The following is a 21,379-nucleotide window of genomic DNA, read 5'->3' as shown; positions in this document are numbered from 1 at the left end:
GACCAGCGAGCTTACATTCCAGTGGTGGAGAAAGACCATGCACAAGTAAATAAATAAACCAGGTAATTACAGACTGTGTAGTAAGTGTTGTGAAATATGACAAACAACACTTGAAATAAGGTGGACATGGAAGGCCTCAGGCCTGAATAAGAAGGAGCCAGCTGTATTCCAGGCAGAGGAAGTAGCGCATATCAAAGCCCTGACTGTGAACAGTCTGATGAGGCCTGAACTAGTTTAGGAAGTAGGAATGGAAAGAAGGAATGAATCTGTGAATATTTAGAAGGAATAATCAGAAGGACAGACTGAATGCAGTGGTTGAAGGTTGAACTTTGGCACCTCGCTGATGGTGGTGCCACTTGCATTGGGGAAGGAGGAGCAGGTTTTAGGGACAAGCATTTCCCCTCTGGAGGGCTCTCTTTCCCATCTGTACAATAGGTTAATATAACAACCAAGCTTAGTGCTAGGATTTTTGTTTTCGTGGTTTTTTGTTGTTTTTGTGTGTGTGTGTGCATGTGATGGGGTCTCACTCTGACATCCAGGCTTGAGGACAGTGGCATGATCACAGATCACTGCAGCCTCAACCTCCCTGGGCTCAGGAGATCCCCCCCATCTCAGCCTCCCAAGTAGCTGGGACTACAGGCATGCACCGCCATGCCTGGCTAATTTTTTTTGTTGTTTTTTCTGCAGAGACGGGTTTTTGCCATGTTGCCCAGGCCAGATTGCTAGTTCTTAAGAATGTTATGTTCCTCACACTTACTGAATTCCAAATGAATTAAAGATTATGGCCGGGCAAGGTGGCTCACACCTGTAATCCCAGCCCTTTGGGAGGCCCAGGCGGGTGAATCACCTGGAGTTGGAAGTTCAAGACCAGCCTGACCAACGTGGAGAAACCCCATCTCTACTAAAAATACAAAATTAGCTGGGCGTGGTGGCACATGCCTGTAATCCCAGCTACTCAGGAGGCTGAGGCAGGAGAATCACTTGAAACCGGGAGGCAGAGGTTGCAGTGAGCGGGGATCGTGCCATTGCACTCCAGCCTGGGCAACGAGTTAAACTCTGTCTCTAAAATATATATACATAAATTAGCTTGGCATGGTGGCACGGGCCTGTAGTCCCAGCTACTCAGGAGGCTGAGGCAGGAGAACCGTGTGAACCCAGGAGGCACAGGTTGCAGTGAGCCAAGATCATGCCACTGTATTCCAGCCTGGGTGACAGAGCAAAACTCTGTCTCAAAAAATAAAATTGAATTAAATTTAAAAAATAAAATAATAAATAGGAGGTTGGGTGCAGTGGCTCATGCCTGTAATCTCAACACTGGGAGGTCCAGAAGGGAGGATTGCTTGAGCCCAGTTGTTTGTTTGTTTCTTTTTTGAGACAAAGTTTCGCTCTTGTTGCCCAGGCTGGAGTGCAATGGCACAATCTTGGCTCACTGCAGCCTCCGCCTCCTGGGTTCAAGCTATTCTCCTGCCTCAGCCTCCCGAGTAGCTGGGATTATAGGCGCCTGCCACCATGTCTGGCTAATTTTTTGTATTTTTAATAGAGACAGGGTTTCACTATGTTGGCCAGACTGGTCTCGAACTCCTGGCCTCAGGTGATCCACCCACCTCGGCCTCCCAAAGTGCTGGGATTACAGGTGTGAGCCACTGTGCCTGGCCTGAGCCCAGTAGTTTAAGACCAGGCAGGAAAACAACGAGACTCCATCTCTAAAAAAGTAGAATAGGCTGGGCGCTGTGGCCTGTTTTTGAGATGGAGTTTTGCTCTTGTCACCCAGGCTGGAGTGTGATGGCACGATCTCGGCTCACTGCAACCTCTGCCACCTGGGTTCAAGCAATTCTCCTGCCTCAGCCTTTTGAATAGCTGAACTACAGGCCCACACAATCACACCTGGCTAATTTTTTGTATTTTTAGTAGAGATGGGGTTTCCCCATGTTGACCAGGCTGGTCTTGAATCCCTAACCTCAGATGATCCTCCTGCCTCAACCTCCCAAAGCGCTGGGATTACAGGCGTGAACCACCGCACCCAGCCACTAATTATTACTTTCAAAATAGATTTCTTGCCGGGCGCGGTGGCTCACGCCACCTCACCTGAGGTCAGGAGTTTGAGACCAGCCTGGCCAACATGGTGAAACCCAGTCTCTATTAAAGATACAAAAAAATTAGCCAGGCGTGGTGGCACATGCCTGTAATCCCAGCTACTTGGGAGGCTGAGGCAGGAGAATTGCTTGAACCTGGAGGCAGAGACTGCAGTGAGCCAAGATAGTGCCACTACACTCCATCTTGGGCAACAGACCAAGACTCCATCTCAAAAAAAAAAAAAAAAAGCCGGGTACAGTGGCTCACGCCTGTAGTCCCAGCACTCTGGGAGGCCGAGGCAGGCAGATCACGAGGTCAGGAGATCAAGACCAGCCTGGCCAACATAGTGAAACCCCTTCTCTACTAAAATACAAAAAAATTAGCCGGGCGTGGTGGCAGGTGCCTGTAATCCCAGCTACTCTAGAGGCTGAGGAAGGAGAACGCTTGAACCCAGAAGGCGTAGGTTGCAGTGAGCTGAGATCGCACCGCTGCACTGCAGCCTGGGCGACAGTGCGAGACTCAGTCTCAAAAAAAAAAAAAAAAAGTAGAATAAATAAAAATTTAAAAATAAAATCCAGAATCAAAGAAAAATAAAGGATGGATAAATTGATCCCATAAATATCTAATGTTTTTGCATGGCTAAAAAACACTCTTGGCAAAGTCAAAAGTCAACAAATGGAAAAAATATTTGCAACTCATTTGACAAAGAGCTGATTTTCCTAATATATAGTGAGCACCTATGAATAAGAAAAATGGGTAAAGGATATACACAGACAGAAATAGGAAAATATATCTCAAACATATGAAGAAAGACTCATATCTCTGCAAAATATGATATTTGCAAATTAAACCACTTGGAGATAACATTTTTCACCTCTCAGATTGGCAAAGATCAAAAAGTTTGATAACACGGTGTTGATGAGGATATGAGGAAACAGCCACTTAAGGGGAATTGAGCAATAACTTATCAAAACTCTGACCCAAATATCCTATTTCTAGGAATAGATGATATATATAGAGAGAGAGAGAAAGAGAGAGAGAGAAATGCAAAGTTACTGCAGCAGTGTAATAACAAAAGGTTGGAACTTATTTCAATGTCCTTCACCAGGGCACTGGCTAAATAAATTACTGTGTATAAAATGGTATGAACCATAAAACTAGTCCTTTTATACTCTTAAGGAATGATTTTCAAAATATATTTTGTGTAGAACCATATGTATAGTATCCTACTATTTGTTTTATAAGGGTAAATTAACCTCCTAAAGGACATTTCAGAAACTGCCTCTGGGAAGAGAAACTAAGTGGCTGGTGGACAGCGAAGACTTTTCACTGTGTATCATTTGAACCTTGAGTTATCCTTTCAAAATATTCAAAAAACAAAAACAAGCAAAGAAACAAAACCCTTTATGGTTCTAGGTACATGGCGTTAGTGAGAAGGGAACCAATATTTATTGAGCTCTTACCATGTTTCAGACACTGTTCCAAGTACTTTCACATACACTACCCCATTTAGTGACCTGTGTAATCCTTGAGATGGGTATACATTATTCTAATTTTACAGGTTAGAAAATAGACTGGATAGGCCAGGCGCAGTGGCTCACGCCTGTAATCCCAGCACTTTGGGAGGCCAAGGCGGGCGGATCACCTGAGGTCTGGAGTTTGAGACCTGCCTGGCCAATATGGTGAAACTTCCTCTCTCCTAAAAATACAAAAATTAGCCGGGCGTGGGGGCGGGCGCCTGTAGTCCCAGCTACTCTGGAGGCTGAGGCAGGAGAATCGCTTGAACCCGGGAGGCGGAGGTTGCAGTGAGCTGAGGTCGCGCCACTGCACTCCAGCCTGGGCGACCGAGCGAAACTCGTCTCAAAAAAAAAAAAATAGGTTGGATTGTGGTCAAGTAATTTACTCGGCGTCATGCCTAGTCTAGCTCCAAAGCTCCAGCCTTCTCCGCTTCTCACACTGCTTCTATTTAAGCAGTGTCCTCTTAAAAATAATACTGGTCTCATTTATTGGGCACTTGATATGACAAAACTACTAAGTGCTTTATGTACGTATTCTCATATAATTCTCAAGACAACTCTGGAAGGTAGGAACTACTCTCCCCCTTTTACAGAAAAGATAAAGGAGGGTCCGAGACATCGCGCGTAACAAGCCCAAGGTCACGGGTACACAATCGTTTGGAAGCTAGGTTTGATTCCAAAGCTCCAGCTCCGAAATCCAAACCACACCCGGTTCAAAGGACAAAAGCACAAACGCTCGCTCGCTGGGCTCTAGGAGGTGCGGACACTTCCGGGGGAGGGGCGAAGCCAGCTGGCTGCGGAAGGCGGTGCAGGAACCCCTTTGGCGAGCTCGCGCGAGGACGTGCCGCAGCGCCGCCTGTCGATCACCTTGCCCCGCCGCACGTCGGCGCGCCCCCGGGCAAGCTCCTCCCCCAGTCCTGGCCGAGCGGGAAGCGAACGCGCGCTCTCTCCGGTTACCTTCCGCCTCGGGGAAGGGCGGGGGAAGTGGAAGCGCGCGCTCGCGAGCTGCGTGCTCGCGTACGTCGCCGGGGTTCGGCTGCGTCCGTCCCGCCGCCCGCCCGTTGCCGCCGCCGCCGCTGCCGCCGTGCTCTCGCTTTGCCCGCCGCCGCCTAAGGGGGGCTGGGGCCGGGGCCAGCCATCACTGCCGTTGCCGGGATGCCGCGGGTGTACATCGGCCGCCTGAGCTACCAGGCCCGGGAGCGCGATGTGGAGCGCTTCTTTAAGGGCTACGGGAAGATCCTGGAGGTGGATCTGAAGAACGGGTGAGGAGGGCGAAAGAGGGTCCGGCCGGGCGGGGACAGACCCCATAGGTGGTGGGGAGGCCGCGGGGACGGGAGAGGGACGCCTGGTCCGCGCGGAGCGGCTACCGGCCTGGCCAGGCTCCGCCATAGTGGCGGCGCCTCGGGGGCGCGGGTAGGCCCCGGTTCCCACTGCGCCTGCGCGGGTGGGGGTGGTGGAGGCATAATGGGAGCTGTGCTGAGGCCCTGAGTGGGACGGGGAGAAGGAAAGCCCGAGTGGGGCTGGTGCTCCGGGCAGGGGGGCACAGCTCCAGGGCGCCCGGGAGACCTGGGTTTTCCCTTCCTAGGCCCGGAACTGGGGCCCTATTCGTTTCTGGGTAGACACCAACCTTTCCCGCTCTGAGGACTACTGGAAATAAACAGGATTTCCTGCTCCCTTTCACCTCTTGCCCGGTCTCATGGATCAGACGGTCACAGCGCCGTCTTCCCCGAGGACTGGAGCCTTGGAGGGAGGCCCTTTTTAGCCGTGTGCCACGCTTTTTTGGGCGGGAGACTCCAGTTTGAGTAGTCTAGTGACAGTTTCGAAAGTATCGTCTTGCCGTGCTGAAAGCCTTCACCGTTCCCTCTGCAAGAGTAAATTAAAGTCTTAACTTCTTATCTTTAAGACTCCGTGCAGAGTTTCCACGCTGTGGTTTCCGTTTTCCAACTTACCGAAAAATTGCTTGGCCGTTGTAGAATTTGTTAGGAGAATAGTGGCCACCCTGGCTAGTATCTGCGTCTGGTTAACGCAGACGGAGACGAAATTGTTAACTTACTGCCTCCCCCAGAGTATGATCTATTACTTGTATTCTTAATCTACTTCGGCAAAAATAGTGCCAGCATGAGCTACAGGTTTTAGGGAAAACTGTTGAGGAATCAGGCCTGGAGAAAATACTCAACGGGGAAAACTGGGAACCAGATGTTAGGTAGGGCTTGGAAGGCATGGATATAAAATTAAAAGGACTGGGGTGACATTTTAGGGCACTAAACCTTGGGTGTTAGAGAACTCTTGGCTTAAAAAAGAAACTCTACTTTGCAACAGTTGTAATATAGCTACCGTTTACTCCCCAGGGTTATACTAGTAACTGACACCTGAAACATTTTGAAAGTTACCTAAGTATGTTTCACGTATGAGAAAACTGGTAGCTACCGTATTCTCAAATGATGATTTGGGTTTAAAAAGCCATTTCAAATTAATTATTAGAATCGTTTTCTTTCTGAGGACGTCTTTAGTAAAGTACTGATTTCTTTTACAGTAAAAGGCTTTAAAAACTACTCCTTTTCTACAGTAAAACGTTCAGTTCTTAAGGATATATTGAAGTGGCGGGTAGACGTTATTGTATACATACCATATATGTGAAAGTTGAAACTCCAGTTTTTTTCAGAGCCCAGCTAAATTGACAGCATAACTAACTTTTGTGGACAAAGTGTGGATTTTGAAGCCAGCCAGGCCTAAGTCAAATCCTGGTTCCACCACTTACTACGTATGGGCAAGTTACTTCTCTGAACCTGGTTGTTCATTCATGTGGAAAAGGAAGATTAGAGATAATAAATGTAAAGCATTTGGCTTAGGCAGTAAGTGGCAGCTATAATCAGAGGGATGAGGAAACATCTTTGCTTGTTGGTGTTTGATAACATAAAGCGTGTTTGGTGAGGTCTTTTCTAATGTTACTCAGGTGATAGTGTGCAGGAAATGACAAGACTGTTAATGGGAAACTGATTCATCAACCAAATGTATTGATAACCCATCAACAAAATGTCCACCACTGTGCTAAATGAATTGGGGGAGGAGGCAGAAAACAGTTCTGCTCTTGAATAAATTAAGCATTATGACATGTGCACTTTGAATTAAGAAATGTTTGCTTTCGCTTTAAACTCTAGTAAAACTTGGAATGATTTGCTTGAAAAGATGTGTTGAAATGGCTTTGAAGAATAGATTAGAGCTTGAAGTGAAGAAATTTAGGTTTCTGGGAATAGTATATGTCGTAGTTGGGGCTCAGGCATGGTGACTTGTGCCTGCAATCCCAGCTGAAGTGTGAAGATTACTTCAGGCCAGGAGTTTGAGACCAGCCTGACCCCATCTCTAAGAAAAAAATTTTTTTAATTAGCCACGCGTGGTGACACTCGCCTATAGTCCTAGCTACTTCAGAGGATGAGGCAGGAGGATCACTTCAGCCTAGGATTTCAAGGCTACAGTGAGCTATGATTGTGACACTGCACTCCAGTCTGGGTAACAGCAAGACCCCCATCTCTAATAAAATAAGTACAATGCTGACTTTTTTTGCTTTTTGATGAATAGGGAAAAAATATTTTTTTAATGTCATAATTGGTGTTGAAGACATGGTCCAGTAAGAAGCAATTATGAAAAATAATAAACAATCTAGCATGGATCAAGCCTTATGAAGAATCTAGAAATTTAACAACATAAACCAGAAACAACGACTATTAGATTTTACACTAAAAATTCGAAATCAATGAGTAGGAATTCAAAGGCTCTGGAAGGAAGAAGTGAGCAACCCAAAAGGAAGATGGAGCGATAAGAGGAAAGAGCCTTTCAGGACCCTAAATACCTGGGTGGTTTTTTTAAGGAACTGTTCATTCTTACAGTTATGCTGCCAAACCATGATATGCATGAAATGTCATTGAAAGTCAAGGTTGAAATGAAGTCATTTTAGAGTTTCAAAGACAGGTATGACAGTCACCAAACAGCACACAATATGACCTCCTGGCATCATTGAGGAATCATTACAGAGGAAAACGACTTCTGGGAAGAAGACCAATGGTAAAGATGTATTTCAAGCAAAAATTGCCTGTATGGCAAAAACGCTGGAGAGTCTGAAAGGAAGGAGTGAGTACAAAAGAAAAAGCATAACTTAGCTACGTATGTAAGCTTATAGTCCCCTAGCAGAAGGGCAGTGGATCTCCCTACTGGGAAGCATGTTTGAACATATCTAGATTGTGATTAGTAATTGAAACTCAGAGGCCGGGCGCGGTGGCCTGTAATCCCAGCACTTTGGGAGGCCGAGGCGGGCAGATGACGAGGTCAGGAGATCGAGACCATCCTGGTTAAGATGGTGAAACCCCGTCTCTACTAAAAATGAAAATAAAAATTAAAAAAAAGTAGCCGGGCATGGTGGCAGGCACCTGTAGTCCCAGCTACTCGAGAGGCTGAGGCAGGAGAATGGCGTGAACCTGGGAGGTGGAGCTTGCAGTGAGCCGAGATCGTGCCACTGCACTCCAGCCTGGGCGACAGCGAGACTCTGTCTCAAAAAAAAAAGTAATTGAAACTCAGAAACAGATTTTGGATGCTTTAGATAGGTCTTTGAAGAATTGCTGGAGTTCAGATTTGTAGAAGTGAGATGTATCAGTAGATATGTTAGGCTGAAGGGTTGTAAGTTAAGTTTAGAATTAAGGCATAAAATGCTTGTCTAGACCGGTCACGGTGGCTCACACCTGTAATCCCATCACCTTGGGAGGCCGAGGTAGGTGGATCACTTGAAGTCAGGGGTTTGAGACCAGCCTGGCCAACATGGTGAAACCCCATCTCTACTAAAAATACAAAGATTAGCTGGGTGTGGTGGTGGGCACCTGTAATCCCAGCTCCTCTAGAGGCTAAGGCAGGAGAATTGCTTGAACCTGGGAGGTGGAGGTTGCAGTGAGCAGAGATTGCATCACTGCACTCCAACCTAGGCAACAGAGCAAGACTCTGTCTCAAAAAAAAAAAAAAAAAAAAAAAATCTTGTGTAATAGGAAGATGACCAAATAAGGAAACAAATGAGTTCTTCAAAGGAGATTTAGTGTTCAGGAAAGGATTCTATGGACCCTGAGAGGGTTTGGAGAAGAGGTGTGTAAGCAAGAGTTCATTGCCTACCGTTTTATTACACCAGGCATCGCTAATGTAGATTGCCACTGTTCTAGAGAACTTTTTGAAAGATGGTTTGGGACCACAAATACAACGAAGATCTCCCAGGATCATATAGACCATTCCATTTCCCATTAAGGTCTCCTACTTTTCTACCCGCCCCATAAACTTCAAGAGTCACTGCAAGGGCCTGGCACGGTGGCTCACACCTGTAACCCCGGCACTTTGAGAGGCCAAGGCAGGCAGATCACCCAAGGTCATAAGTTCAAGACCAGCCTGACCAACATGGAGAAACCCCTGTCTCTACTAAAAATACAAAGTTAGCCGGGCGTCGTGGCACATGCCTGTAATCCTGGCTACTCGGGAGGCTGAGGCAAGAGAATCACTTGAACCTCAGAGGCATAGGTTGCGGTGAGCCGAGATCCTGCCATTGCACTCCAGCCTGGGCAACAAGAGCAAAACTTCGTCTCAAAAAAAAAAAAAAACAAAAAGAGTTACTGTAGGGAAGGGAGGGGCAGGAATCCTAGATGCACGTCAAGGAAGCAACAATATTAGCAGCACTTGTTTATACCCTTTCAGCTCTGTGGTAACTTTTGTTGGCTTTGATTGTATATAGATTTTATTTTTTATAATAAGCCATTTCATGTAAAGTGTGAAAGAATTTTGAGTACACTAGTTGCCCTTTTGTCATAAAATCTTGTGGTTTTAGTCAGATCTTTATATCTTAGCTTTTCCATATTTTAGTTAATGAGTAAAACTTACCACATATTAAGATTATTTTGCCTGTCTAGTAGCTAGAAGGATAAACCCCCAGATCATTGAAATTTATAGTTTTATTTTTTAGTTCAAGTCATGAATTAAAACTCTCAAGGGAAACTTGGATTTAAACTTCAGAACCTGCGTTTCATGGAACAGTGAAATCATGAATAGCCTGAATTTTCAGGGGATGTTGTGGTCTGTTTAGTCATGCTATCTAATTATTACCAGAAAATTTTTGTTTTCGCCCTTGTTTAATGCACCATAATTTTTTTAATGTGGAGTTCAAGACTCTTCGAGTGAGGCAGGTCGTTGTTGTGTATGTCACTGCTCACTGGAGGGCATTATTAAGCCTTAGATACTGAGAAGAATTACTGCCAACCCCAGCACCTACACAGGGATTTTTCTCTTTTGACTCCTGAATTCTTGACAGATTAGGAAGTATATAGTTAGTTTAATGTTCCAGGTTGCTGGTTTCTGGTTAGATGAGCTGTTACAGTATTTTTTTCTTTTTTTTTTTTTTAAAGTTTTTAGTTTTTAATTCTCCCAAGGCTTCTCCCAAGGCTCTGTCATTCATCGTTACCGTATTCTTAATCATGAGAGGGATTATCTTCACCCACCACCAAGTGGCAGAGAAGTGCTTTATCATTTTTATGATAATGCTATAACTAATGAGTGACAAAAGAAAAAGCAAACACTTTGCCTTTAGGAACCCTACCACCTATTTGTTGTTTTTTTGTTTTTTGTTTTTTGTTTTTTTTGAGATGGAGTCTTGCTCTGTCGCCCAGGCTGGAGTGCAGTGGTACAATCTCAGCTCACTGCAACTTCCGCCTTTTGGGTTCAAGCAATTCTCCTGCCTCAGCCTCCCAAGTAGCTGGGACTACAGGCGCGTGCCACCACGCCCGGCTAATTTTTTGTATTTTTAGTAGAGACAGGGTTTCACCGTGTTAGGCAGGATGGTCTTGATCTCCTGACCTCATGATCCACCTGCCTCGGCCTCCCAAAGTGCTGGGATTACAGGTGTGAGCCACCATGCCCGGCCACCTTTTTGTTTTTAAGCCCTTCTGCCAGCCTCAGAAATAGCATCCCATTTGCACTGGCATGTACAAAGCATTAGAGTCTATGTTAAGAAAAGGAAGACATTTGGTTCTGGATTAATTTTAGGATTATCTAAGAAGAGGTTAAAACAAGTTTTGTTTAAAAGCGTGTTTGAATAACTCTCTTTATGTATAGTTAAAATTAAAGACCCACTCTTAATTTTCAAAGTAGCACATATTTATAATTGGAAATTTTTTTTTTTTTTTTTTTTTTTTTTTTTGAGACAGCGTCTGGCTCTGTCGCCCAGGCTGGAGTGCAGTGGCGCAATCTCGGCTCACTGCAAGCTCCGCCTCCTGGGTTCACGCCATTCTCCTGCCTCAGCCTCTCAAGTAGCTGGGACTACAGGAGCCCGCCACCGCTCCCGGCTAATTTTTTGTATTTTTAGTAGAGACGGGGTTTCACTGTGTTACCCAGGATGGTCTCGATCTCCTGACCTCATGATCCACCCGCCTCGGCCTCCCAAAGTGCTGGGATTACAGGCGTGAGCCACCACGCCCGGCCGGAAATTTTTTTTGAGATGGAGTCTCTGTCTGTTGCCCAGGCTGGAATGCAGTGGCACAATCGTGGCTCACCTCCCAGGTACAAGCGATTCTGCTGCCTCAGCCTCCCAAGTAGCTGGGATTACAGGTGTGCACCACCACCCCCGGCTAATTTTTGTATTTTTTGTAGAAACGGGGTTTCACCACGTTGGCCAGCCTGGTTTTGAACTCCTGACCTCAAAGTGATCTACCTCACAAAGTGCTGGGATTACAGGCGTGAGCCACCACACCTGGCCTATTATAATTTTTTTATATGGAGAAGGACCAAAATAATCCAAAGATGTAACTCTTTGCATTTTGGGTTTTTTAGTTTTACTTTTTTTCACATACAGGTATGGGCATGTGCACGCACGCACTCTGTCTCTCTTCTTTTCTTTTTTTTTTTTTTAATTAAAAAACCCACCGGCCAGTTGTGGTGGCTCACGCCTATAATCCCAACACTTTGGGAGGCCAAGGCTGGCAGATCACAAGGTCAAGAGATTGAGACCATCCTGGCCAACATGGTGAAACCCTGTCTCTACTAAAAATACAAAAATTAGCTGGGCATGATGGCGCACGCCTGTAGTCCCAGCTACTCAGGAGGCTGAGGCAGGAGAATTGCTTGAACCCAGGAAGTGGAGGTTGCAATGAGCCTAGATCGGGCCACTGCACTCCAGCCTGGTGATGGAGCAAGACTCCATCAAAAAAAAAAAAAAAAAAACCTATCTCCTGCACAGTCTCTCCCTTTTCTTATGCCTCTCCTGACTCCTTTTTTTTTTCCAAACTTGGAATCATACTATAAGTTATTTTATAATTTGCTTGTTTCACCCTAACAGCCTGATCCTTTTCCTTTGTCATTAAGTATTCTCCTACAACCTGGTTTCTAATGGCTACATAGTACTCCAACATACATATGTTATTTAATGGACATAATCAGAACCATGTTGCAAGGCATTTAGGTTATCTTTATTTTTGTACTATTTTATGCATGTATAATACTGTTGAATATCCTTTATATGAATTTTTGTATACATTTCTTTTTGCCTTAGGGCAGATTCCTGCAAGTAGACTTTGGGAGTCAAAGCATATACACATTTTAATGCTTTTGCTAGCTATTCCATTACTCGGTAAATTAATATTTACGTTTCCACCTGCGGTGTTTAAGAGCTCCTATTTTTTTTTTTCTTTTTTCTTTTTTTTTTTGAGATGGGGTCTCAATCTGTCTCCCAGGCTGCAGTGCAGTGCAGTGGCATGATCTCAGCTCACTGCAACCTCTGCCTCCCGGGTTCAAGCAGTTCTCCTGCCTCAGCCTCCCAAGTAGCTGGGATTACAGGCGCCTGCCACCACACCCCGCTAATTTTTGTATTTTTAGTAGAGACACAGTTTCACCTTGTTGGCCAGGCTGTTCTCAAACTCCTGACCTCAGGTGATCCGCCCACCTCATCCTCCCAAAGTGCTGGGATTACAGGCGTGAGCCACCGCACCCACCAAGAGTTCCTACTTTTCTGAACAGTGCCCTTTATTATAATTTTTTAAACTAATTTTTTCTAATTAAAATGTTTAGAATTATATATGAGGAAATCATTTGGCAGCCTTTAAGGCTTGTCTATTTAGCCTATCAAGCATAACAAATTCAAGAACTTTTTGGACCAGGTGCGGTGGCTCACACCTGTAATCCCAGCACTTTTGGGAAGCTGAGGTGGGCGGATCACTTGAGGTCAGGAGTTTGAGACCAGCCTGGCCAGCATGGTGAAACCCCGTCTGTACTAAAAAGACAAAAATTAGCTGGGTATGGTGGCACTTGCTGTAATCCCAGCTACTTAGGAGGCTGAGGCAGGAGAATCGCTAGAACCCGGGAGCCGAGATTGCACCATTGCACTCCAGCCTGGGCAACAGAGTGAGACTCCATCTCAAAAAAAAAAAAAAAAAAGAAAAAAAAAAAACAACTTTTTAGGCCAGGCGTGGTGGCTCACACCTGTAATCCCAGCACTTTGGGAGGCCGAGGCGGGCGGATCACGAGGTCAGGAGATCGAGACCATCCTGGCTAACATGGTGAAACCCTATCTCTACTAAAAAAAAAATACAAAAAAAATTAGCCGGGCCTGTTGGCCTGCGCCTGTAGTCCCAGCTACTTGGGAGGTTGAAGTAGGAGAATGGCGTGAACCCGGGAGGCTGAGCTTGCAGTGAGCCGAGATCGCACCACTGCACTCCAGCCTGGATGACAGAGCAAGACTCTGTCTCAAAAAAAAAAAAAAAAAAAAAAAAAGCCTTTTTGACTCATTAGAGAATAAATGTAGGTTAATTGTAGATCATTTAGATATTATGAAAGCATAAAGTGAAAAGTATCATTAAGCATCCTTTTAAGATGGGTGAGGTTTTACGTGCAATTTTGTGTCACGCTTTTTTTACTTAATTTATCTCATGTATTTTCTATTACATTAAAATCTTCCTTATTAATGGCTTCATAAAATCCATTGTATGGCAATATTATGACTTACCCAACCATTCCTCTTATATTGTCTACCTTTTTTTTGGTCTCCTAATTCTTGCTGTTATAAGTAACCCTGTGATGGGTATTATGTGCATAAAACTTTGTTTGCATTTTTATTATCCCTGAGTACATATGGATTCCATGAAATAAAATTCATGTGTCACAGCAGGAGTGAACATATTCAAGTATCTCAGTGCATATAACCAAATAACTTTCCAGAAAAGCTACACCAGTTACACTTAACACCCGCAGTGTATGAGCATGCCCGTGTGATGGGCACTTCAACAGCATGGAGTACCCCTGTTGTGTTTGCTGGCCAGGCGTGGTGGCTCACGTCTGTAATTCCAGCACTTTAGGAGGCCAAGGCGGGCGGATCACCTGAGGTCAGAAGTTCGAGACCAGCCTGACCAACATGATGAGACCCTGTCTCTACTGAAATTACAAAAATTAGCTGGGCATGGTGGTAGGCTCCTGCAATCCTAGCTACTCGGGAGGCTGAGGCAGGAGAACCGCTTGAACCCGGGAGGCGGAAGTTGCAGTGTGAGATCACACCATTCCACTCCAGCTTGGGTGACAGAGTGAGACTCTGTCTCAAAAATAAAAAATAAAAATAAAAGATGCTAATTTACCAAGTGAAAAATAATCAGGAAGTTTTTCTTGAATGAATAATAAATAGAGATAGGACTATGAATTAAGTAGCATTCTGTCATTGTTTTATTAGTAATATAACTATTACAAATGTGATCAAATTTTTTTTTATTAAAAGTCACTTTTTAAAGTCAACTTACCCCCCAAAAAAGTGTATTATTTTTTTCCCCCAATATATGGGGAATTTAATTTTTTTCTGTCATTTTGAAAAATCAATGCCAAGAGATAATACCATATTGAGATTTTTGACCAAATGTTAACAGCGTAAATTGCCCTGGTTCAAGACCTCCACTCCTTGGTTCTTGGTCCCTTCAGTTTGTGGTATGAATAAACATCATTTGTAATTATTTGACTAAGTCATTTAAAATCCCTGTTCTTCAGTTTAATATACTGTTTTGCTCCTCCTTTCTCATTGAGGTACTGTATGAATTTAAGGGCCATACGAAGTATTTGTCCCTTCTTAAAAGATAGGCACAGGATATAGACTCGGTAATAAAATGTGGTTTGGGTTTCTAGTATTTTTTTATGCTTCCAGGTACCCAGAACCGCAAATTTTACTTTGAGCTCCTCAGAAGAAAGGTGCTCCAGGCATCTGAGAGAATACCGTTGGGGTGATACTTACAAATTTGTAAGCTAACACTGAAATCTTAAAACTTCCGAAAATATTAATGCATTTGTATGACTTATTTTTCAACTGAGTATGTCAAAGTACTTTATGAACAAGTGTTGTCCCTAGTTTGTACTGATGGGGAAACTGAGGCATGGGGTGATAAGGTGACTGGCCCAAGGTTACAAAATGAGTTATTGACAACTCCGGAAATAGAAGATTTTTTAAATTCCCATACTAGATACATGTGGGCATTGACATTCAAAGCTTCCCTCATGCTATTTCCTTTAGTCCTGTCCTTTGGGGATTGCCTCTGAGGGTGAGAGGGTAGTTCAGGTTTCCGGGCTTGTTCAGCCTTTAGTCTCTGTAGAGGCTTCCAGCAAGCTGACAAGTTACTGCCAAAAGTGAGACAGATGGTATTTTTTATGATGTTGTCCTTAGTTGGAGACTGCTAGTGATTCTCCTCCTCAGGCTACTCTTTGAAAAGCTGTAAGGTGGTATCAGCTTTATCGTGGTTGGCTGAGGAAGGATTTGTACAAGTAAATGTTCTCTGCCTTATTGTCATTCCTAGGGCCGTCTGGTCTTATAGTACCCTGAAGGTGAGGGATTAGATTATGCTCTGAATTTGTATGCCCATAGTTTGAGGAAATGTTTTACTTGAGTTTTCTGTGTGTTGAGATGAAAGTCTCCCAGGCTAAAGATTTCTGAACTGCACGCAATGTCTGAAGAAGCGCTTGAAAGGCACTTTATTTCTCCCAGGTCCCCAACCATGGGTTTAGGTTTTTATGCCAGAAAGGGGACCTTCATGAACAAAGACCCCCAAGACCTAGAGAGAAGAGGAAGTCTGAAAGAGGGAGGTTTGAATTCAGCCTTCAGGAATGAAGAGGGCAGACAGAGCAGGAGGCTCAGGCAAGGGAGTCAGGAACCACAGACCAGAAACATGGACTTGGAAAGGTTTTCATGTAATTGAAATGAAGCTATTGATCCATCCATTTTAAAAGAATTTGAAAAATTCATTAAAATACTTAATTAGTGGCATCCACTAATTAATAAAAGCATAGGGAGTGGCATCTTTAACCAAAAATGAAAATGAAGAAACAGACTCCAGCCCAGGGACCAGGGGCGATTATGAGGGACATGGTGCCTCATACAGCCAAGATGATCCAAGAGGCATCATCTTTAATGAAGCTTTAACACCTGGCAGCCTGCTCATTGTGTTGTTTAAGAGGTAAGTATGAACTGGTTTTGTTTGTAGCTTTTGTGTGGAATCAGGTAGTGCTGTCTGCAGAGTGTAAACCTTTATTTCTTTAAGTAGGAATAACAGATAAAGTAATTCTATATTAAATCCCAAGAGTTTTATTCTAAATTGGTAATGTGACTTTCATCTCTCGAGTTTTTTCAAATCGTTTTTAATTTGTGGTTGAGTCTTCACGAACTTCTTGTCATCAGGCAATAGTTGATTCCCCTTTTTTGAAAGCTTTCAATTTCATTTATCCTTAGTGTTGAAAAGTGTCAGAAAATTGAAATGGACACAGATGATTGTATCTGCCCTCCCTTTCAGGAAAGCCATGTTGACTTTAAAATATCAAAAAAGAAAGTTCAGTTATGATTGCAGGGGGTAATGATAGTTTGATCCACAAACTATTTGCAGTGTAAAAGTGAAATACCTTAGCTGACTTAGTTCATTTTTGAAAGTTTTGAATAGCTAAAACAAAGTTGGCAAATAGGCTCATAGAGTAGTTACAGAGTAAGACTAAATTCATATTTGATGCAGATTCCTCTCTACCTCCCATTCTGGGAGGATTTAGTTTTACTGTTTGGTGTTTAGGATAATGATTGTTCTGTTTTTCTCACCCTACTATGTGAATATATATTCTGTTAGAGATGGGCTGTTATCTGCAATGTGGACTCAATACCATGGGCTTGAGTTTGGTTAGTTCATCATTAGAGATTTTTTTTCAGCAGTTGGTTTACTTTATGAGAAAGGATCATGAGTTTAATTTTCCCACTGATATATTTGTGTTCTCATTGCTGAGATATAAGTTTCTTAATGATTTGTTACCTTTTTCTATTTTCCTAGACTAGTATTAAAATTTTGATGGCATATGGGTTTGGTTCCACTTGTAGAGAATAAATGTTCACAACTTACTGGTATTAGCACACACACATCACATGCAGAAATGGTGTTTTCTTGCCACTTACTCTTTCTCATAAGATGCTTATATTCCTGTGGGCATTTGTCTTCCACACTACAGCACATAATTTGATGAAACTGATTTTCTGTGCAAGAGCTTGTGTTTCTCCAACTCTGGTTTTATGGACCACTTTTCATTGGTATATAGGAGGCGGTTAAAACGTGGTGGTAGAATGCAGGTTTTAGGTTAGCTGGGTGTGAAGAATCCCAGGTCTTTGGGATAGTCTTGGCAAGTTACTCAACTCCTCTAAGTTAGTTTCTTGATCTGTCAGATGACAGTAAACCTCAGAGTTGTGAAAATTAAATGGATATAATGTGTGTAAAGCACTTAGCATAATGCTTTATACATCGTAAAACTTTCAAAAATAGGAGTAGTAATTATTACAAAGAAATGTGAAGAAGAGTCCTAGTGGGCTGCATGTTAAAAATAGTTTTTAGTTAATGAAAATTAAATCACATCTTAGATGTTTATCATCTGCATGGTACTTTTCTGGTTGCTGCTTTAACCTTTGTATAGTTGAAAGTCTGTAAACTTTCTAGTATTCTTTGATTTCTGGCCCATTTCCCTCCTACCATTCACGCTTATATTTTTTGGTTCAAGTCACCATTCCTTGCAAAACTAATTAAATACATTCCTAAATACATAATATTGCCAATATTCATTCACATCCACCACGTCTAGATCCAAGTCTTCATCTTCTTTATGCTGGTCTAATTTTTGCTGAGCCTTAGAAGCAAAGACAGACTCCGGGGGTTGATATGGGACCTCCAGAATGGGGATTGCACAGAATAATCTTATTTTTCCTCTATTCTTCTAGTCTGTTATGTTCTGAACCCACACATGTTTTCGGAAGGACCAGATGGCTGACACTGGCTAATGGGAACCAAAAGACGAGTGAAAGTAACCTGGTTGTCACATACCCCCAGCTTAGAGGTGCTTCACCCTGCCCCAAGGTCAATTTCTTTTTTCTCTAGAGACTTTACCCCATTATATCAAAAACCTTTACTACAGCCTGACTTTATCTGATGTTAGAGTATCATTAAGTCAAGCAGCAGCATTTATTGAGTGAAAAAAGATTGTACACAGGACTGGAAGAGAAGCATCTGCCTTTAAAATACAGTAGAAGGCCGGGCATGGTGGCTCATGCCTGTAATTCTAGCACTTTGGGAGGCCAAGGCAGGTGGATTGCCTGAGCTCAGGAGTTCGAGACCACCCTGGGCAACATGGTGAAACCCTGTCTCTCCTAAAAAAAAAAAAAAAAAAATTACAAAAAATTTGCCGGGCATGGTGGTGCACACCTGTAGTCCCAGCCACTCTAAAGGCTGAGGTACAAGAATTGCTTGAGCCCAGGGTCAGAGGTTGCAGTGAGTGGAGATCGCGCCGCTGCGCTGCAGCCTGCGCGACAGAGCGAGACTATGTTTTTTTTAAAAAAAAAAAAAAAAAGGAATTAGAACCTTGTGGTTTAGAGCTGGGATTTTTAGAGTCATGGGTCTGGGTTCAAATCTAGCTCCTTCACTCATGAGCTCCTTGAAAATGAGCAAGTTGCTTACTCCAAGCCTCAGTTTCTCATTGTAAAATGAGAAGAATAATAATACATTCTTCACATTTGATATACAAATGGATGAAATATTATGGATAAATTATTTACTGTGCCAGGCACTGTGCTAAATAGCCAACAGATATTAGCCTTCGTTTTTCTTAGTGAAGAGCTCATAATCAAAAGAGAAGGTAAGCACAAAGACAAAAACAAGACTTAAAAAGCTACAGAAACATGACTGGGCACAGTGGCTCACGCCTGTAATCCCAGCACTTTGGGAGGCTGAGGCGGCCATATCACAAGGTCAGGAGTTTGAGACAAGCCTGACCAACATGGTGAAACCCCGTCTCCACTAAAAATATAAAAATTAGCTGGGCGTGGTGGCGTGTGCCTGTAATTCCAGCTATTCAAGAGGCTGAGGCAGGAGAACTGCTTGAACCTGGGAGGTGGAGGCTGCAGTGAGCCAAGATTGTGCCTTTGCACTCCAGCCTGGGCAACAGAGCGAGACTCCATCTCAAAAAAACAAAAACAAAAAGCGTAAAATTGAATAGAAGTGCTAAAGCTAAAGAAAGTCCTAAAATAATTGGAATAGGCAAGTTTCTGAGGCTTCATGAAAGAGGTAATTCTCAAGCATATGGAAGAAGATTGATATAATTCAACTTGTGTAGTCAAGGTGTTCCAGGTTTAGAGAGTGACATAAAGATACTTAGGAGTCGTTATAGACTTCTAAACAAAAAAATGATTTAGTAGCTGACTTTTCCTGACACAATGCAAAAGACAAGTTGACTAAGTAAAAATAGCTCTAGCCTAGAATTACATAAATTAATCCAAATGGTAGAGACAGCCCTGAAGGCCCAGCAAATGAGAAAACTGCAGAACTTGGCAGTAGACCCAGTGGGTAACCAATAAGATATAGTCAGAAGTGATTACAAAGGTGTTGGGAGCAAATTAGATGGTCAAGGGATCCGGAAGAGAGAAATCATGAGGTAGGTTTTCTTCTTTGAAGGTGGGGAAAGATCAAGTGCAGACTGAGCTGTGGCCAACGTTTGCAGACCAGGAATCCACACTAGCTCTAATCAGAGAGCCCTTGGTGTGCGGGAACTGCCAGTTTGCCGACGTGAAAAGAGTCCCAGACTGGGTAATGGTGAGCCCTGAAGTCGCACCCCAGCTCTGCCACTCAGTGAGCACGGGTAAGTCATCCACCTCCTCCAGGTGGCCTTGATGGCCCTCCCTCCTCTGAGACTAAAGAGAGGCCACAATGCCCAGAGCAGCCTCCTTCCTGTCTCAAGAAAGGAAAGGATCTCAGGAACCCATTTCATGTGGTAGCAGCTTTTAGTTGTGGGTTGTAAACAACCCTCTGTTGCCAGGAAAGTCAAATTGCAACCATAATCACTGATCCTGAGCAGTAAATGTGACATTGGTTAATTCTTCTGTGAGGGCCTGAACGCTGGTTCCCTGGAATGTTGCAGACCTTTGGAATCGGGGCAGTTACACTGTTCTCATTCACAAGCTTTTCTCTGAGTTGGCCTCTTCTGAGCACTAGAGTTGGTTGCAGAAGTGTCTTTCTACAGTTTGCCAAGCACTTTATGCAGACAGCAAGAATTACCGTTTTTTTAGTACTGTCCTATCAGTGTGTCCTGACTTTTTACCTCATAAGACCAAGTTGGCTGAAGCATAGGACATCACTGAGTGCTTTGAAACAAAGCTGTTTGATTCCTGTTCACTGAATGCCATTTCTTTCAGGGTAGATTTAAGGACTTTCCCCTTAAAGTACAGTGCTACTGACTCTAGATTGAGGGTTCAAGCCACCCCGTGGGTTAACTTCAACAGATGAAAATTTTTCCTTGGCTACAGCAACATCCCTAATCCTGACCAGCCATGGAGAGGTTCGGTTCTTACAAGGAAAATGAGTGAATGTGGGAATGGCTCACCACATTGTGAAAACAAAACTCACATCCTGCTGATGGTTGGCTGAGGACTGTCATGTCCACATACAAAGAAAAGCATGTGGCACAGTTTTAGGACAAAGGTGAGCAGAGATCCACCGTGGAAAGGGGCATATTTTCTTATAGAGAGACCATCCAAGGCATGCCCCTCGGTAAGCAGTGTTGGTGGGTGACCACGGTCACACGCATGGAGGCTTGCTTTCCCCTGCTCCTCATACCCACTCCCTAGCAGTTTCTGGTATTGAGCACCCCCTTAGTCATGCCTTGCCCAGTTAGCCATTGATCAGCCTGTTTCCAGAGCAAGCCATGGGTATTAGATTGCAGACAGGACTTAGTCTCCCTGTTCAGTGAAGATGTTTGGAATACAGAAGTGACCCTAAGCTGTTCTGAAAAGAGTTGAGGTAAATCCTATTCAGTAGAACATAACAGAGCAAAGGGCAGACTTGGTGTTTGGGACCATTGGTATAGGCTATTAGGATCAGAGAAAGGATATTTAGCAAGGATACAAACTCAGATAATAATTCTTGCCTGAAGAAGTGTGGTTAACATTTCAAAAGTTGAAGTCTTAGAGTACCTTAGTTTTAAAAATACGTCATTCCAGTTCTACCTTTTCAGAATTATGACTGATAACCTGAGCAGTACATCAGCTATTGAATGACGAAGATGAGCGCATTGGCAATGGGATAAGAATGGACTAAAGTTTAGAGCAGCCCATGTAATTCAGTGTGGCTTTTGTTTGTGGTATCCAGATACCTGTCTATACTTGGTAAGACTCATGGTGCCTGCCTTTTTTTACAGGGAAAATGACAGCAACTTCCCCTCATTCTTTTGACTAGGTTTGTGAGGATAGAATG

At 43.6% G+C, this 21,379-nt stretch overlaps 2 protein-coding genes across 6 annotated transcripts in view, besides 6 other annotated features; both read left to right on the top strand.

Moving 5' to 3' along the window:
- The window catches only part of MECR (mitochondrial trans-2-enoyl-CoA reductase), a 63,239-nt gene extending 44,437 nt beyond the window's left edge, over window positions 1–18,802 (top strand). For both annotated transcript variants that reach the window (XR_007060748.1, XR_007060747.1), the window contains one exon: window positions 17,860–18,802. The gene's annotated coding sequence lies outside the window, so the exon portion shown is untranslated. The remainder of the gene's footprint in view (window positions 1–17,859) is intronic.
- Window positions 3,270–3,907: an enhancer, noted in NCBI's record as "H3K27ac-H3K4me1 hESC enhancer chr1:29509103-29509740 (GRCh37/hg19 assembly coordinates)". NCBI's record gives its function as "activates a minimal SCP1, AML or CMV promoter by ChIP-STARR-seq in naive H9 embryonic stem cells {active_cell/tissue: H9 hESC(naive)}" and the evidence as "EXISTENCE:reporter gene assay evidence [ECO:0000049][PMID:30033119]".
- Window positions 3,908–4,545: an enhancer, noted in NCBI's record as "H3K27ac-H3K4me1 hESC enhancer chr1:29508465-29509102 (GRCh37/hg19 assembly coordinates)". NCBI's record gives its function as "activates a minimal SCP1, AML or CMV promoter by ChIP-STARR-seq in naive H9 embryonic stem cells {active_cell/tissue: H9 hESC(naive)}" and the evidence as "EXISTENCE:reporter gene assay evidence [ECO:0000049][PMID:30033119]".
- Window positions 4,250–4,479: an enhancer, noted in NCBI's record as "active region_609". NCBI's record gives its function as "activates an Ori minimal core promoter by ATAC-STARR-seq in GM12878 lymphoblastoid cells {active_cell/tissue: GM12878}" and the evidence as "EXISTENCE:reporter gene assay evidence [ECO:0000049][PMID:35858748]".
- Window positions 4,550–4,759: a silencer, noted in NCBI's record as "silent region_554". NCBI's record gives its function as "represses an Ori minimal core promoter by ATAC-STARR-seq in GM12878 lymphoblastoid cells {active_cell/tissue: GM12878}" and the evidence as "EXISTENCE:reporter gene assay evidence [ECO:0000049][PMID:35858748]".
- The window catches only part of SRSF4 (serine and arginine rich splicing factor 4), a 34,158-nt gene continuing 17,376 nt past the window's right edge, over window positions 4,598–21,379 (top strand). For 2 of the 4 annotated variants that reach the window (XM_011541951.4, NM_005626.5), the window contains exon 1: window positions 4,598–4,852. In XM_011541951.4, coding sequence (XP_011540253.1) covers window positions 4,746–4,852 — 107 coding nt within the window. In that variant the 5' untranslated portion in view covers window positions 4,598–4,745. Of the gene's footprint in view, window positions 4,853–10,779; window positions 19,770–20,433; window positions 20,609–21,379 lie in introns of those variants that run through there. The other 2 variants (XM_047427708.1, XM_047427706.1) reach the window with 2 other exon arrangements.
- Window positions 4,810–4,999: a silencer, noted in NCBI's record as "silent region_553". NCBI's record gives its function as "represses an Ori minimal core promoter by ATAC-STARR-seq in GM12878 lymphoblastoid cells {active_cell/tissue: GM12878}" and the evidence as "EXISTENCE:reporter gene assay evidence [ECO:0000049][PMID:35858748]".
- Window positions 8,064–8,564: an enhancer, noted in NCBI's record as "H3K4me1 hESC enhancer chr1:29504446-29504946 (GRCh37/hg19 assembly coordinates)". NCBI's record gives its function as "activates a minimal SCP1, AML or CMV promoter by ChIP-STARR-seq in naive H9 embryonic stem cells {active_cell/tissue: H9 hESC(naive)}" and the evidence as "EXISTENCE:reporter gene assay evidence [ECO:0000049][PMID:30033119]".

Source organism: Homo sapiens, chromosome 1 (genome assembly GCF_000001405.40).
Source record: "Homo sapiens chromosome 1, GRCh38.p14 Primary Assembly".
NCBI lineage: Eukaryota > Metazoa > Chordata > Mammalia > Primates > Hominidae > Homo > Homo sapiens.
Note: the sequence above shows the minus strand (reverse complement) of the source record. Positions and strands in the feature narration are given on the sequence as shown.